An 18,347-nucleotide genomic window follows, 5' to 3' on the forward strand; every position below is an offset into this window, starting at 1 on the left:
ATCGATCCTGGTTGTATCTGTGCGGATGCTGCCAAAGGAGATTAACATTTGAGTCAGTGGGCTGGGAAAGGCAGATCCACCCTCAATCTGGGTGGGCACCATCTAATCAGCTGCCAGCGTGGCTAGAATATAAAGCAGACAGAAAAAAAAGTGAAAAGACTAGACTGGCCTAGCCTCCCAGCCAGCATCTTTCTCCCGTGCTGGATGCTTCCTGCCCTTGGACATCGGGGCTCTAAGTTCTTCAGTTTTGGGACTCAGACTGGCTTCCTTGCTCCTCAGCCTGCAGATGGCCTATTGTGGGACCTTGTGATCGTGTGAGTTAATACTTAATAACTCCCCTTTATGTGTGTGTGTATATATACACATATAAATATATACATATTTATAGATGTATATATGTATATATGCATACATATGTACATATGCGCATATGTATATGTATATGCATATGTATATATACATATGTATGTGTATATGCATGTATATATACATATGTATATGTATGTGTATATATGTGTATATGTGTATATGTATATAAGTGTATATGTGTATATACATATGTGTATATGTATATATACATATATACATATACACATATATATACATATGTGTATACACATATACGTGTATATGTGTATACACATACGTGTATATGTGTATATACAGATATATGTGTATGTGTATATATACAGATATATGTGTATATATATACACACATATGTATATATATATACACATATACATATATATACACACATATGTATATATATATACATCCTATTAGTTCCTATTAGTTCTGTCCCTCTAGAGAACCCTGACTAATACACCACTGCAATCTAGCCTGGGTGACAAAGCAAGATCCTGACCTCAAAAAAAAAAAAAAAAAAGGTTAAAGGGAACTTTCCTTAGCACACATTAAAGCCATCATAATTTTTTAAAACTCTATTGGTTGTGCTGGGCGTGGTGGCATGCACCTGTAATCCCAGCACTTTGGGAGGCTAAGGCAGACAGATCACTTGAGGTCAGGAGTTCGAGACCAGCCTGGCCAATATGGTGAAACCCGTCTCTACTAAAAATACAAAAATTAGCCAGACATGGTGGTGGGCACCTGTAATCCTGGCTACTTGGGAGACTGAGACAGGAGAATCACTGGAATCCAGGAAGCGGAGGATGCAGTGGGCTGAGATCATGCCACTGCACTCCAGCCTGGGTGAAAAAGTGAGACTCTGTCTCAAAAAAAAAAAAAAAAAAAAAAAAAAAAAACTCTATTGGTGCAAGATCAAAATAATAGGCCAGTGAAGCAGAAGAGAAACCCAGGAGTCATGTGTAGGACCGTATTCTATCTTAATGCGCCATGAAAGGTGCATTAGGCCGTTCTTGTGTTGCTGTAAAGGAATACCTGAGACTGGGTAATTTATAAAGAAAAGAGGTTTAATTGGCTCACAGTTCTGCAGACTGTACAGGAAACATGGTGCCAGCATCTGCTTGGCTGCAGGTGAGGCCTCAGGGAGCTTTCAGTCATGGTGAAAGGCAAAGTGGAAGCAGGCATCTCACATGGTGCAAAAACAGGAGCAAGAATGCAGCAAGATGCCATGTGCCTTTAAACAACCAGATCTGGTGAGAGCTCACTATCACAAGGACAGCACCAAGCCCTGAGGAATCCGCCCCCATGATTCCAACACCTCCCACCAGGCCCCACCTCCAGTATTGCGGATTACATCTCAACATGGGATTTGGAGGGGAAAACGTCTGAATTATTCATATATCCAAGAGACCTTCCCACCCATCAATGTGTAGAGGGCCGGCTATCTAGTAGATGGCATTGGGGGCCAGTCACGGTGGCTCACACCTGTAATCCCAGCACTTTGGGAGGCCAAGGCGGACGAATCACTTGAGGCCAGGAGTTCGAGACCAGCCCAGCCAACATGGCGAAACCCTGTCTATAGAAAAAATAGGAAAAATTAGCCAGGCGTAGTAGCACATGCCTGTAATTCCAGCTACTCCGGAGGCTGAGGCGCAAGACTCACTTGAACCTGGGAGGCAGAGGTTGCAGTAAGCCGAGGTTGCACCACTGCACTCCAGTCTGGGCGACAGAGCAAGACCCACTCTAAAAAAAACAAAAAGGATGGCATTGAGAAGACCAGTTCTCCAACTGCATCCTGCCCAATGTTACATTCAAAGATAGACTCCAAATCACTCAGTATCTGTTGGAAAAGACAATCAAAACCAAGAGTGGAGGAGACTATCTTTATGAACTATGCTTGGGTAAGAGCTTCTTAAACTTTAGAAACATAACCTATAAGAGAAATAAATTGATGGATTTAATTATATCAAAATTAAATGTTCCTGTTCAATGAAGATACCACAGGTTTTGTTTTTTTTTTTTTTTTTTGAGACAAAGTGTTGCTCTGTCGCCCAGGCTGGAGTGCAATGGTGCAATCTCGGCTCAGTGCAACCTCTGCTTCCCAGGTTCAAGAGATTCTCCTGCCTCAGCCTCCTGAGTAGCTGGGTCTACAGGTGTGCACCACCACCACCAGCTAATTTTTGTATTTTTAGTAAAGACAGGGTTTCACCATGTTGACCAGGCTGGTCTTGAACTCCTGATCTCAGGTGATCTGCCCGCCTTGGCCTCCCAAAGTGCTGGGATTACAGGCATGAGCCACCATGCCTGGCCTACCACAGATAATATTAATAGGCAGGTGACAGAATGGGAGTAGTTATTTGCATAAAATGGACAAGAGATTGGGACCTCGAACATTCAAGTAACTCCCAGAAATCAATAAAACAAAAAGAGGCCAGGCACAGTGGGTAGCCAGGGCACAGAGCAGAGCCCATCCCAGGACTGACCCTGGACTGGGCGTGGTGGCTCAGGCATGTAATCCCAGCACTTTGGGAGGCTGAGGCAAGAGGCTCGCTTGAGGCCAGGAGGTCGAGACCAGCCTGGACAGCATAGCAAGACCCCATCTCTACAAAAAGAGATTAAAAATAAATTTAAATAGGAAAAAGAGAAGAACCCCAAATAGGAAAATGAGCAGAAAACATGAACAGATGATAGATGGAAGAAGAAACCCACAGGTTAACAAGCATATAGAGAGGCCCAAATTCATCCATAAGCAGATAAATGAACATTAATCAGTAAAATTGTATCACTCTGGACCTAATAGGCTGGCAAAAATTGGCACATTGAATGATGCCAAGGGTGGTCAGAAGGGGGTCCTCAGGCACCCCAGGTGGGAGTATGAACTCATGCTATTGTTCTGAAGAATAACACAGCACTGCTTAGCTACACTAAAGAAAGGTGCTGATATGGTTTGGATTTATGTCCCAGCCCAAATCTCAGGTCAATTTTTTTTTTTTTTTTTGAGATAGAGTCTTGCTCTGTTGCCCAGGCTGGACTGCAGTGGCATGATCTCAGCTCACTGCAACCTCCATCTCCTGGGTTTAAGCAACTCTCTGCCTCAGCCTCCTGAGTACCTGAGATTACAGGCATGTGCCACCATGCCCAGCTGATTTTTGTATTTTTAGTAGAGACAGGGTTTCACCGTCTTGGCCAGGCTGGTCTTGAACTCCTGACCTCGTCATCCACCTGCCTTGACCTCCCAAAGTGCTGGGATTACAGGCGTGAGCCACCGTGCCCAGCCTCTCAGTACAAATTCTAATCCATAACGTTGGAGGAGAGGCCTGGTGGGAGGTGATTGGATCATGAAGGCAGATTTCCCCCTTGCTGTTCTCGTGAGAGTGAGTGAATTCTCAGGAGACCTGGTTGTTTATAAGTGTGAGGCCCCTCCCCCTTCTCTCTCTTCCTCCTGCTCCAGGCATGTGAGACGTGCCTGCCTCCCCTTCACCTTCCACCATGATTATGAGTTTCCTGAGGCCTCCCCAGCCATGCTTCCTGTACAGCCTGTGGAACCGTGAGCCAATTAAACCTCTTTTCTGTATAAATTACCCAGCCTCAGATAGTTCTTTATAGCAATGCGAGACTGCACGAATACAGCCACCCTATAGTCTTGCAACTTCACTCCTGGATCTGTTTCCCAAGGAATTCACACACGGATCCAGAAGGGCCCACATTCAAGATCTTTCATGGCAGTGTTTTTTGATGGTGGGGAGCTGGGCACATGCTGTGAATCCATCCCTGTGGGGTGGACAGGTAAGATGCCAGGGTGCCTGCCATGGAATAGCACACAGCAGTTAGAAGCCACTGAAGCTGTGTACACATAGCAGCAGAGATAGAGCTTGAAAGTATAGTCTATAAGACTAAGCTATTTTGGGATAGCCAAAGTTATATATTTTATTTATTATTATTATTATTATTATTATTTAAGATACATTATTTTGGCATAGCCAAAATAAGAAATAAATAATAATAAATATGTATTAATTATTAATGTTATTATTTATTTTATTATTGGTTATTAATAATATAATCACAAATAATAATGATAATTATTATTTATTTATTTCTTTATTTTATTTATTATTTATTAGAAAAAGATCTATAGCATAATAGTTTCATAAAATAAAAATATGTGTGTGGAAAACAATACATATAAACCAAAAGTTACAAATTAAATGTATTACAATGCTTGCCTTTGGTGGGGGGAACCAAGTGTAGGGACAAAAGAGAATACATTTTAAAATAAAACAAGAGAGGGGCCTGGTACAGACCAGATTATTAAGATAATCATGGCACAAACTGAAGGACATGATTATCTGAATCTTCTGTACCTCAGACCCAAAAGTGGGGGAACAACGTTTATGGCTTCAGGTATGGCTTGATCCAGGCTCCCGAATAATGCTCTCGAGTCTCACACAGGCTTTCTTCATGTGGTGGCTCTTAGTGGCTTTGGGCTTATAGCCCACATATTAAGCAGCCCCAGCAGGTAAAGGACATTGCTTTACCAATAGTGTCAGCAAAAGTTCCAAGGCTGACATTAAATCAATCCAGGTTACTTCCATATCACTTAACCAATCAATTATTATGGCAAGAGAAATTGAATCAGCTGATTGGCCAAGCTGGGGCCAATTCCCGCCCCTGGAGATGAGGAGAAGGACCAAACCCACCTAACCCCATGATCTGAAAATGAGGGAAGTGTAGTTTCACACACACACACACACACACACACACACACACACACAAATTTTTAAATAGACTGGGTACAATGACTCATGCCTGTAATCCCAGCACCCTGAGAGGCCGAGACAGGAGGATCACTTGAGCCCAGGAGTTTGGACTAGCCTGGGCAACACAATGAGACCCTATCTCTATAAAAAATACAAAAATTAGCCAAGAGTGGTGGCACACACCTCTAGTCCCAGGTACTTGGGAGGCTGAGGCAGAAGGATCGCTTGAGATCAGGAATTTGAGGCTGCAGTGAGCTACAATGGTACCACTGCACTCCAGCCTGGACAGCAGAGTGAGACCCCCCCTTGTCTAAGTGTAAATATGTATATGTATATAGCCCAGGCATGGTGGCTAATGCCTGTAATCCCAGTGATTTGGGAAGCCAAGACAGGCAGATCACCTGAGGTCAGGAGTTCCAGACCAGCCTGAACAACGTGGTGAAACCCTGTCTCTACTAGAAATACAAAAATTAGCCAGGAATGATAGCAGGTGCCTGTAATCCCAGCTACTCGGGAGGCTGAGGCAGGAGAATCATCTGAACCCAGGAGGCAGAGGGTGCAGTGAGCTGAGATCTCACCACTGCACTACAGCCTGAGCAAGGCTCTGTCTAAAAAAAAAAAAAAAAAAGCTATGTATAAATTACAAGTAAACAAATAAATAAAAACTCAACTCCCAAGGAGACAGGAGTCCAGCTCAAATCTGTCTCCCTGTGCTGGCCTTCAGTCAATCATTTTATTAGAATAGGTTCCAGGGATGGATTCTGGGTTTAGCAGGTGCTTGGTGGAAGGAAAGGGGAGGCCTGGAAAGCCCTTGGGCGTGTGCAGTTATCTCTTCATACTTCCTCAGCAGTCACATGTGCAGATTCAAGGGGAGTGAGTATAAAACATGCAGTGCAAATTCAGGCTGTGATGGCAGCAAGCATGTTCTGCGCAAATTCCGGTCAGCCATCTTGGTTCTTTTTTTTTTTTTTTTTTCTTTTAGACGTAGTCTCGCTCCGTTTCCCAGGCTGCAGTGCAGTGGCACGATCTCGGCTCACCGCAACCTCCGCCTCCCGAGTTCAAGCCATTCTCCTGCCTCAGCCTCCCAAGTAGCTGGGACTACAGATGTGTGCCACCACACCCAACTAATTTTTTTTTTTTTTTTTTGTATTTTTAGTAGAGACGGGTTTTCACCATGTTGACCAGGCTGGTCTCGAACTCCTGACCCCGTGATCCACCCCCCCCCCCCCCTCGGCCTTCCAAAGTGCTGGGATTACAGGCGTGAGCCATTGCGCCCGGCCCACCATCTTGGTTCTAACCAATGCCAGCCAGTTCTTTAATCTCATAAGTAGAGGGAGCTTCAGCGTTTCAGAAAGTCGTTTCTTTTCTCATCGGCCATCCTGCAGACTCAAGAATTTGTTAGTGTTTTTGTTTTGTTTTTTTTAACTACATGGGACATGATTTCACCTCCATCTCACTTTCTTCCCAACTGCACTGGGTTGAATAAACATCTAAAATATATCTTAAAGATGCCCAGTGGATTTGATTATCAAGCGGTCATCTCTGCCCTTGACCAGAGAATTTCCAGTGGAGTGATGGGGGCAGAAGACGGATTAGGGTCCATTGAGGAGAGTACAGGATGGGGGAGTAGAGACAGAGAGCTTTGGCGGGCTGACAGAATGTTCTAGATCCTCATAGTCAGGGAGGTTCTGTGACTATACAACTTTTTCAAAATTGATAAAACTGCACACTGAAAGGATTGAATTTCACTAGATATAAATTATACCTCAATAAAACTGACATATATAAAAATATAAAAATTTAAAATAAATCATTCTTATTCAACTATGGCCACTTTCCTTTCCAACCAACTCTTTTTCATTCTACACATGACATTTCAGATGCCACTAATATGAAAGATGACAAGTATAAATATTTCTCTCCTGCTGTATTTTCCACTTTCTCTGTTCTTTTTTTTTTTTTTTTTTTTTTTTTTGAGATGGAGTCTCATTCTGTCACCCAGGCTGGAGAGCAGTGGCGTGATCTCAGCTCACTGCAACCTCCACCTCCCGGGTTCAAGCGATTCTCCTGCCTCAGCCTCCCAAATAGCTGGGACTACAGGTGCACGCCACCACACCTGGCTAATTTTTGTATTTTTGTAGAGGCGGAGTTTTGCTTTGTTGGCCAGGCTGGTCTTGAACTCCTTACCTCAGGTGATCCATTTGCCCCAGCCTCCCAAAGTGCTAGGATTACAGGCGTGAGCTACCGTGTCCAGACCAATTTTCTTCTCATCTTCCCCACCCCCTCCCCGCATAGCTTTTCCTCTCATCCCTGAATAGTCTTGGTTCGATAATTACTCTGCTCCAATAATTATTTTATCATGTATGTTTTATTTCTAAAATATTCACTACCGTGACTGTTCCATAAAGCCTTTATTCTCAATTCCCTGATCACCATTTTTACACTTGTACAGTATTAATAACATCTTCTCTTTTGGTAATGTCTTTTTTTTCTGTCTGATGAACAAAAAGTACTTTGCAGGCGTTTTATATCGCTGTCAGGTAGTTAGGAAAGGAAAAGAGATTTTGCAGATGGAAAAAATATATAGACACAATGTATTGGCAGTTCGGGTGGAAAATGACCAAAAATGAACGTGTCATGAACATGCAATGTTTACCTGGACAGAAGGGCAAGATTTCTCTCATTCAGAGGCTGTGCTAAATCCCCTGAGCACGATGTGCAAACTTACAGCACGCCCTGCCCAGGGGCAGGTCCCAAGCTGACACCAACCCCAATGGGTCACCCTCCAGCAGCAGGCATTTTCCCAGCCACCACCGCAGATAGCTCACTGAGTCCAAGCCAGAAAACAGGGCATCTTCCCTCAACAAACACAGAGTTTCTGGGTTGTTGGGCTTTTCCAGATTTATCTGCTTTATGGCAAGACCCTTCTGCAGAATCTTCCCACTGTGGCCCAGCACCGAGTCAGCTCCAGACAGTGGCAATCCTTATAACAAGGTGGGCATATCAGGTACGGAGCCTGTGCATGATTGTTAAGATGTGCAGAGGGGTTTGCAGCAGACCTGGCCAAATGCAGCTAGCAGTGTTGAGTAACTGGTATGCTGACCACCACGCCACGAGCATGCATCACACTTGCCAGCTTGTCGTGAACGGGAAAAGCTCACTTTGGGAATTCCTGAATGAGCTGGGATTTGAACCAGAAGCCATGCCCCTTCTATGGGCTTTTCTTTCTATAAATCGATCACACGGGCCTCTGGTGAAATTGACAGAGGATTCTCCCAAATCCCTTGTCTCACTAGCCGCTACCCCTCTCCTGTCTCAAGGCAGATCATGTTTCCCAAAAGCAGCCACAGCAGTATCTCCCATCCCACCCGCTCTTCTTAAAGTAAAACAACGGGGGCTGCATCTTCTCCCCTTGAAACTGGGCCAGCCTCTGGGACCGCCTTGACCAGTAGAACAAGGCAGAAGTGACGTTGTGTGACTTCCGAGGCTAGGTCAAAACCCACAAATGCCACAGACATGATGTGTGATACGGCTGTGCTCTGTGTCCCCACCCAAATCTGACGTCGAATTATAATCGTCCATGTTGGAGATGGAGCCTGGTGGGAGGCGATTTGATCACCAGGGCAGTTTCTAATGGTTTAGCACTGTCCCCCTGGTGCTGTCCCGTGATAGAGTTGTCACGAGATCTGGTTGGTTAAAAGTGTGTGGCGCATCCCCCTTCACTCTCTCTTCCACTTGCTACCCCCACGCAAGATGTGCCTGTTGCCGCTTTGCCCTTCTGCCATGATTGTAAGTTTCCTGAGGCCTCCCCAGAAGCAGAAGCCTGTGCACCTCACAGAACTGTGAGCCAATTAAAACCTCTTTTCTAACCAGCTGCAGTGGCTCACGCCTGTAATCCCACCACTTTGGGAGGCTGAGGCAGACGGATCACCTGAGGTCGGGAGTTCAAGACCAGCTTGACCAACATGGAGAAACCCCGTCTCTACTAAAAATACAAAATTAGCTGGGTGTGGTGGTGCATGCCTGTAATCCTGGCTACTTGGGAGACTGAGGCAGGAGAATCGCTTGAACCCGGGAGGCAGAGGTTGCGGTGAGCCGAGATTGCACCACTGCACTCCAGCCTGGGCAACAACAGCGAAACTCCGTCTCAAAAAAAAAAAAAAAAAAAAGTCTTTAAAAGGCATTTGTTTGGCCAGGTGCAGTGGCTCACACCTGTAAGCCCAGTTCTTTGGGAAATCACGGTAGGAGCATCACTTGGGGCCAGAAGCTTGAGACCACCTTGGACAATGTAGCAAGACCCCATCTCTACAAAAAATATAAAAATTAGCCAGGCATGGTGGTGCCCATCTGCAGTCCCTGAGTCCAGGAGATCAAGGCTGCAGTGAGCTATGATTGCACTCCAGCCTGGGTGACAAAACAAGACCATGTATTGAAAAGAAAAAAGAAACTTGTTTACATTTTTAAAGAGGATTTATTTGAGAAACATATAAAAACACCACAGACACTTCATCAGCCACTCTACACAATAAAATAGACATAATAACATGCATATTTTTGCAAGCATAAATACTCAGGTATAGTATAGTAATGACAGTCACACAGGTCAACAGTTATGAACAGATGAACTGTATTCTTAAAGAAATAGGTCAAAAAGCAAAATGTATGAACGTATATCACTCCGGTTTGTAATTGCGTGCGGCCAGCTGTATAACTGTGGTCATCTGAAACGCTGCGACAGACAACCTGTTTTTTGATGAGATCCATTAGAAACCACAACGGACCAGGAGCGGTGGCTCACGCCTGTAATCCCAGCACTTTGGGAGGCTGAGGTGGGTGGATCACGAGGTCAGGAGTTCAAGACCAGCCTGGCCAACATGGTGAAACCCCATCTCTACTAAAAATACAAAAAAACTAGCCGGGCACGGTGGTGCATGCCTGTAATCCCAGCTACTCGGGAGGCTAAAGCAGAGAATTGCTTGAACCTAGGAGGCGGAGGTTGCAGTGAGCCAAGGTCACGCCACTGTACTCCAGCCTGGGCAACAGAGCAAGACCCCATCTCAAAAAACAAAAACAAACAAACAAATAAAAAAAACCCACAATGGGTCAGCACTGCATGTACAGTGGCCCAAAGAGTCACGACCTCGAGATTTCTTTCACAAATTCAGGTGTACTAAAAGAACATCTCTTCGTTTACTGAGGAAGGTCCAACATTTTTATGTACACACACCATGCTTACCCATGAAGTCACTCTGATCATGCACTTTCCTGGAGTTAACTTCCCCCCAGAAACTGCATAAAATGAATTAGAACTCTCTAAAAGTCTTTACACAATTTATACCTCCAGTATTGGAAATGATGCAAAGGCGAAATACCTAGCATCGCGAATTGGTGACCCTGTGTGAAGGGGCAGAAGTCGTACATGATCGAATAATTTGGCAGGGGAGATTTCTTGTATTTCATTTTTCACCTGCATTTTCATTTCTTCTGTAATCTTGGAAACACTTGCTGCACTTATGTTTGGAGAGTGGTTGTGGTCTACTGATTTTGTAAGCATGTGCTGGCCATTGCAATTAAGCGATTTTCTGCTTTTGAAGCACCAATAATAATTAGCCTTTAAACTTTTATCTTTTACCATTAAGTAGCCCCGTATGTATAATATGGCCTTTTATTTTCAAGGGGACAGTTTCACAGGTCTCTTCCATTGTGTCTTAAGGAATACAGGAAGAATGAATGATATTTCGCTTTTCCCAATACCAAATCTGTATTAATCAGGGTTCTCCAGGGAGACAGAACCAACAGAATATGGATATGGATGGATGAGAGGGAATTTATTGGAGGGGTTGGCTTACATGGTTATAGGGGCTGAGAAGTCTTATGATAGACCATCTGCAAGCTGGAGACCCTGGGGTGATGGCAGCTTTGTGGTTCAGTTCAAGTCTGAAGGCCTCAGAACCAGGGGAGTTGATGGTGTAACTCTTCAGTCCAACGCTAAAAGCCTCAGGACCCAGTGGGGGCCACTGGTGTAAGTCCTGGAGCCCACAGACCTGTGAGGCTGGGGCAGATCTGATGTCCAAGGCAGCAGCAGCAAAGTCTGTCCCAGCTCCCAGAGAGACCAGTTTGACTTCTGTATTTGCTCTGTCTGGGCTTGCAGCTGATTGGATGGTGCCCACCAACACTGAAGGCACATCTTCCCCAACCAGTTCACTCAGGCCCACACTAATCTCCTCTGGAAACACCTTTGCAGACACACCTCAAAGACACAATGATGCTTTTTATAATAATAATAATAATAAACTTGGTTAGGTTTCTAGGTATTCCTTAATCCAGTCAAGTTGGCCCACTAAATTAAGTCCATACATCTATCCCTGTTCAACTTGGCCTCTGGGGATCTGCTTAAGTCATACTTAATTTTCGGATAAAGACAATAACAAGATAATAGGTCCATCTCACATGATGTAACTATCATGCTACAATAGAAAATGCACAAAGTCCTTCCCCAGAATTAGGCTTTCGGGACTTCAACATTGGAAATTTTAAGCTTTGTGGATTGTAATTTGGGGGATTTTAGATATTAGGTGGATCACCTAAAGTCGGGAGTTCAAGACCAGCCTGACCAAGATGGTGAAACCTGTAGGGGTGGGTTGCCCCTACACACCTGTGGGTGTTTCTCGTAAGGTGGGACGAGAGATTTGGAAAAGAAAAAGACACAGAGACAAAGTATAGAGAAAGAAAGAAGGGGACCCGGGGAACCAGCGTTCAGCATATGGAGGATCCCGCCAGCCTCTGAGTTCCCTTAGTATTTATTGATCATCTGTGGGTGTTTCTCGAAGAGGGGGATGTGTCAGGGTCACAAGACAATTGTGGGGAGAGGGTCAGCAGACAAACATGTGAACAAAGGTCTTTGCATCATAGACAATGTAAAGGATTAAGTGCTGTGCTTTTAGATATGCATACACATAAACATCTCAGTGCTTTACAAAGCAGTATTGCTGCCCGCAGGTCCCACCTCCAGCCCTAAGGCGGTTTTTCCCTATCTCAGTAGATGGAGCATACAATCGGGTTTTATACCGAGACATTCCATTGCCCAGGGACAGGCAGGAGACAGATGCCTTCCTCTTGTCTCAACTGCAAGAGGCATTCCTTCCTCTTTTACTAATCCTCCTCAGCACAGACCCTTTACGGGTGTCGGGCTGGGGGACGGTCAGGTCTTTCCCTTCCCACGAGGCCATATTTCAGACTTTCACATGGGGAGAAACCTTGGACAATACCTGGCTTTCCTAGGCAGAGGTCCCTGCGGCCTTCCGCACTTTTTGTGTCCCTGGGTACTTGAGATTAGGGAGTGGTGATGACTCTTAAGGAGCATGCTGCCTTCAAGCATCTGTTTAACAAAGCACATCCTGCACCGCCCTTAATCCATTCAACTCTGAGTGGACACAGCACATGTTTCAGAGAGCACGGGGTTGGGGGTAAGGTCATAGATTAACAGAATCTCAAGGCAGAAGAATTTTTCTTAGTACATAACAAAATGGAGTCTCCTATGTCTACTTCTTTCTACACAGACACAGTAACAATCTGATCTCTCTTGCTTTTCCCCACATTTCCCCCTTTTCTTTTCGACAAAACCGCCATCGTCATCATGGCCCGTTCTCGATGGTCGCTGTCTCTTCGGAGCTGTTGGGTACACCTGCAGACTAACAACAGACAAAACAGGCACACAAGGATTAATATGAGATTTATAATCGTAGTACTTCCAATGGTCTTAACCCAAGTGACAGGGTTAAGATTTGCGAGGCCATCAGCAACTCCTGCAATTGCCTCAGTTCCTGGCACCAAATTTAAATGGGCTTTTGATGCTTCGAAAATTTGTTCTTTTAATTTGGAAATGTCTAAAGTGAGATTATCTTCTCTTCCCTGTAGATGGCGTCTAACCATGTCCCAGTGATGCTCAGACTCATTATAAATTTGGGGTGTAATACAAAAATCTGACGTATTCCAGTCACATTGTAACTGGAAACGATGTTCTAAGCTCATGAGTCTGTCTCCCATCCAAATGACAGTTTGTCTAAGATCATTAATTTGATTTGCCAATTTTTGATCAATACTAGATTGTGAATTCCACAATCTTGTAGAATTTTTTTGCCAATCATTAACAAAGTTTACTGACTGAACAGAAGAGTGCAATGCAACTCCTGCTACAGCAGCCGTAGCTGTGACTGCAATTAATCCCATAATCACTGCAATTAAAGTAAAAATGAATCTTTTGGATCTATTTAAAACACCTTTTAATACTTCAGTCAAAATATGGACGGATGGCGAGGCCTCCCACGGTCGGTCCATGGACACAGGGATCCACACGCCCTCTCTTGCTCTCACCAGCAGAATACGGTGTTGCCAATTAAAAGTTGAATCAATGCAAGTAAGCAATCTACAATTTTCACAGGTTATAGTCTGGGAGTCTGGTTTAATAACTATATTTCCTACAACTAGCATATAAGGGGGCTTTACGCAACTTTGTAAAGGAACTGTTAGACTGGAATTCAGGTCAATAGTATAAAATGGCTTACGATCTCTTGTTTCTAAAGTTTGATTTCCAGACCAAATTCTAATGTGGTGTGAGGCCACAGTAAGCCTCCATAATTCTGGATGTTCAGGACCAGAAACAGGACTTACTATTTTTGGTCTTGGGGTAGAGATTCCTTTTTCTCCCCATTCCCAAGGGTAGAAAGACTGCAATTTTTTATGCTTATGTTTGTCTAAACTTTCTGTTAAGTCGCTATCAACAGCTGGACTCACTTGTGCACTTGGACACGACTGAGTTTGTCCTGAGCAATTGTGGTAGAATTGACCTCGAGGTGCCCAATCTATAATAGTTCCGAATTCATTGTTTTGTAATATCACCGCACTATTGGCCACACATTCTTCCCAAACTAAAACTTCTGTATTTTTTGATTCTTTGGGAATTTCCTTGGGGCAAGGTTTCCCTTTAGGTCTAAATTTTAATGATCTTTGATAAGAAAAGTCTTGTAAATAATTTACCCGTGGCCTGAGTGACATCCCGCTTACCATGTGATAAGTGAATCTACAGATGGGACTGACAGTAGGTACTTCTACCAACCAATTTTGGACTGCAGGCATTAAACATCCTGGTGCTCTCCCTAGGCAAATAGGAGGATAATGATACCCAATGGAAATATTTATCATCATCCCTTCTTCCTCAGGTTTGGCAGGGCAGCGATCATCTATGGGGCCAGGTACCCATACACTATCATTAACATATACTTCTGTAGGATTATCCATCCATGTGACTGCCCGAATTAAGGGCGGGAAAGGCACATAGGCCCAGTAGGTATAGTTAGCTGCAGCTGCTCCTGCAGGCATAGGGAGACTTACCACCATTGATACAATCATCAAGGCTGCAAGCAGCATACTCTCTGGGGTTTGTGTCACCTTTGTGTTCTCTAGATATTTTGTAGCTAACTGCGTCAGCTTCTTTAGTTGTGCCCAAGTTGGCGGCTCTGCCTTCTTGGTGGATGGCAACTTCATCTGTTCTTCTGACGTCACCATTTTGTTCATCTTGTGAGTCAACGGTGCTCGATTGCGATGTCTCCGTCTCCGCGGAGGTGCTTTTCTTTGCATCTCTGATGGGTTCATTGTAGAACTTCAAATGTCTAGTGGGTATCCAAACAGGAAGCTGATTTTCTCCTGGTGAAACACAAGCAAAACCTCTCCCCCACGTTATCACCTTCCCTATTTCCCATGTCTTATTTTTATTATCTTTCCACCAAATTAGTTTTCCTTCATGTGGGCTGTTCTTTTTACCAGTAAGATGTTGTTCTGCAGAAGTAGTAGTCTGATTTCTATAAATGTTTAAAAAATTTAAAGTATAGAGTGCTAGATTAAGTTGCATCTGAGGAGTGGTACACTCCTTACTGTCTCCCCCTTCTTTTTGTTTAACTAATTGAGTTTTGAGTGTTCTATTAGTTCTTTCAACTATGGCCTGTCCTTGGGAATTATAAGGAATTCCTGTTGTATGTGAAATTTTCCACTGACTTAAGAATTTTTGGAAAGCTTTACTACAATATCCTGGTCCATTGTCAGTTTTGATTTTTTCTGGAACTCCCATTACAGCAAAACAAGACAATAAATGTTTTTTAACATGGGAAGTACTTTCTCCTGTTTGGCAAGTTGCCCATATGAAATGTGAATAAGTATCAACTGTTACGTGAACATATGATAATCTTCCAAATGAAGGTACATGCGTGACATCCATTTGCCATAATGCATTAGGACACAGACCTCTGGGATTAACTCCTGCCTCTTGAGTGGGCAGGTGTAAGACTTGACACTGGGTGCAATGTTGTACAATATCTTTTGCCTGTTTCCATGTGACATCAAATTTGTTTTTTAATCCTGCTGCATTTACATGAGTCAAAGCATGAAGTTCTTGTGCTTTTATGAGTGCAGATGATACCAGTAAGTCAGCTTGTTCATTTGCTTTAGTCAAAGGCCCTGGTAAATTAGTGTGTGCTCGAATATGTGTAATATAAAATGGGAAATTTCTTTTTCTTACAGTTTGTTGTAATAAATTGAATAGCTGGTTTAACTGATCATCCATGCTATATTTAATTAGAGCTGTCTCAACATCCCTTGTAGCCTGTACTACATATGCAGAATCTGATATAATATTGATAGGTTGGTCAAAATCTTGTAACACTGTAATGACTGCAACCAACTCTGCTCTTTGAGCCGATTGATATGGAGTTTTGATTACTCGTTCTTTCGGTCCTGTGTAAGCTGCTTTTCCATTGCTGGAACCATCAGTAAATACTGTTAGAGCATTTTCTAAAGGTTCACGTCTGGTAATTTTAGGTAGAATCCAAGTAGTCAATTTTAAGAACTGGAAGATCTTTGTTTTTGGGTAATGATTATCAATAATTCCCACAAAATTAGCAAGACCAATCTTCCATGCACCAGAATTGATAAAGGCTTGTCTAACTTGTTCCTTGGTTAAAGGGACAACTATTTTGTCTGGGTCATTCCCACATAATTTTATTATTCGTAATCTTGTCTGACCGATTAATGTAGCTATTTGATCCAAGTACAATGTAAAAGTCTTAACTGTACTGTGAGGAAGGAATGACCACTCCACAAGATCAGTATTTTGAATAATGATGCCTGTTGGAGAATGTGCAGTGGCAAAAATCAAAAGTTGGAGTGGGGCTAAGGGATCTATTCTATTTATTTGCGCTGACTGAATTTTTTCTTCCACTAATTTAATTTCTTTTGTTGCCTCTGGGGTTAACATTCTTTTACTATTTAAGTCTGAGTCTCCTCTTAAGATAGAGAACAAATTTGACATGGCATAAGTAGGAATGCCTAGAGTTGGCCGAATCCAATTAATATCTCCTAGTAATTTTTGAAAATCATTTAGTGTTTTTAATGTGTCTTTTCTTATTTCTATTTTTTGTGGCTTAATTTTTCTATTTTCTATCTGCATCCCTAAATAATGAAAAGGAGTAGAGGTTTGGATCTTATCAGATGCTATTGCCAGTCCAGCATTGGCAACCTCTGCTTGCAGAAATGTATAACAGTCAATTAATTTATCTTTCGTTTCTGCAGCACATAAAATATCATCAATACAATGAATAATATAACAGTCTGAAAACTTTTCTCTAACTGGTTGAAGAGCTCGACCTACAAAAGTCTGACAAATAGTTGGACTATTAAGCATTCCCTGAGGTAACACTTTCCACTGAAACCTGGTGGCTGGTTCTTTATTATTTATGGCTGGTATAGTAAAGGCAAATTTTTCGCAATCCTGCTCTGCCAGAGGGATGGTAAAAAAGCAATCCTTTAGATCAATTATAATTAAAGGCCAATCTTTTGGGATCATGGCCGGAGAGGGCAACCCGGGTTGGAGAGGCCCCATGGGTTGAATTACGGCGTTTACAGCCCTTAAGTCAGTTAACATACGCCATTTGCCTGATTTCTTCTGAATTACAAACACAGGAGAATTCCAAGGTGAGAACGAAGGCTCAATATGACCCTTTTCTAACTGTTCATTTGCTAATAAATGTAAAGCCTCCAGTTTTTGTTTTGGTAGCGGCCACTGATTTACCCACACTGGTTTTTCTGTTTTCCAAGTTAATGGTATGGGTTTAGGAGGCTCTACAGTGGCCGCCCCTAGCAAGGATTCCCTATTCCTTCTCTTTCTTGATTTATTTTAGCCTCAACTGGAATTTTAATGCCATCTTCATTTTTCCCTAGTCCCTTTCCTGGTATATATCCCATCTTGGTCATGATTTTTTGACTCGTGGGGCTATATGATGGAGCGGGCATGGTGATTTCCGCACCCCATTGTTGTAATAAATCTCGACCCCACAGATTAAGAGGAATTGAAGTAATCATTGGCTGAACAGTACTTTCTTGATTATCTGGCCCTAAGCAATGTAAAATCTCCGTACTTTGATACACTTCTGAGGCTGTGCCTATGCCGACAAGTCCTGTAACAGCCTTTTGTTTAGGCCAATTTTTTGGCCACTGATTTAAAGCAATGATAGAGACATCTGCTCCAGTGTCTACCAACCCTTCAAACTGTTTTCCTTGAATAATGGCCTTACACACAGGTCTGTTCTCTGAGACCTGACTTGCCCAATATGCAGCCTTTCCTGTTGGATCAGTGCTTCCAAGCCCTCCTATTCTTTTTATTTCACTATTTCCACCCTTAATGTATGGCAGGAGTAATAATTGAGCAATCCTGTCTCTTGGACTGGCACTCCAAGGAATTGAAGAGCTAATAACCAATTGAATTTCGCCTTTATAGTCTGAATCAACCACACTAGTATGAATTTGAACTCCTTTTAGATTTAGACTTGATCGTCCCAAGATTAGTCCTACAGTCCCCTTAGGCAGGGGTCCATATACCCCTGTGGGGGTTTTTTGTGGGGGCTCCCCTGGAAGCAGAGAGACTGCTTGTATAGTACATAAATCTACTGCTGCACTGCCGCTTGTGGCGGGGGACAATTGTTGTATTGTGGTAACTGGCTTATTCCCTGAAACACTTGGGACAGTGGGGGTTGTTGTCCCTGAAAACCCTGAGGAACAAATGGCTGAATTGGGAATGCCCCAGTTTGTTGTGGGGCCTGAGGCTGGCCCCTTTGCTCGTTTCCCGACAATGGTTGCCCATTTTTATCAAATTTAGAACGACATTGACTAGCCCAATG

The 18,347-nt window shown here is 43.3% G+C and overlaps 1 annotated feature.

The window, feature by feature from the left end:
- Positions 5,757–5,957: a silencer, noted in NCBI's record as "peak6348 fragment used in MPRA reporter construct". NCBI's record gives its function as "represses an SCP1 promoter by STARR-seq MPRAs in K562 erythroleukemia cells {active_cell/tissue: K562}" and the evidence as "EXISTENCE:reporter gene assay evidence [ECO:0000049][PMID:32103011]".

This window comes from Homo sapiens, chromosome 7 (assembly GCF_000001405.40).
Source record: "Homo sapiens chromosome 7, GRCh38.p14 Primary Assembly".
Lineage (NCBI taxonomy): Eukaryota > Metazoa > Chordata > Mammalia > Primates > Hominidae > Homo > Homo sapiens.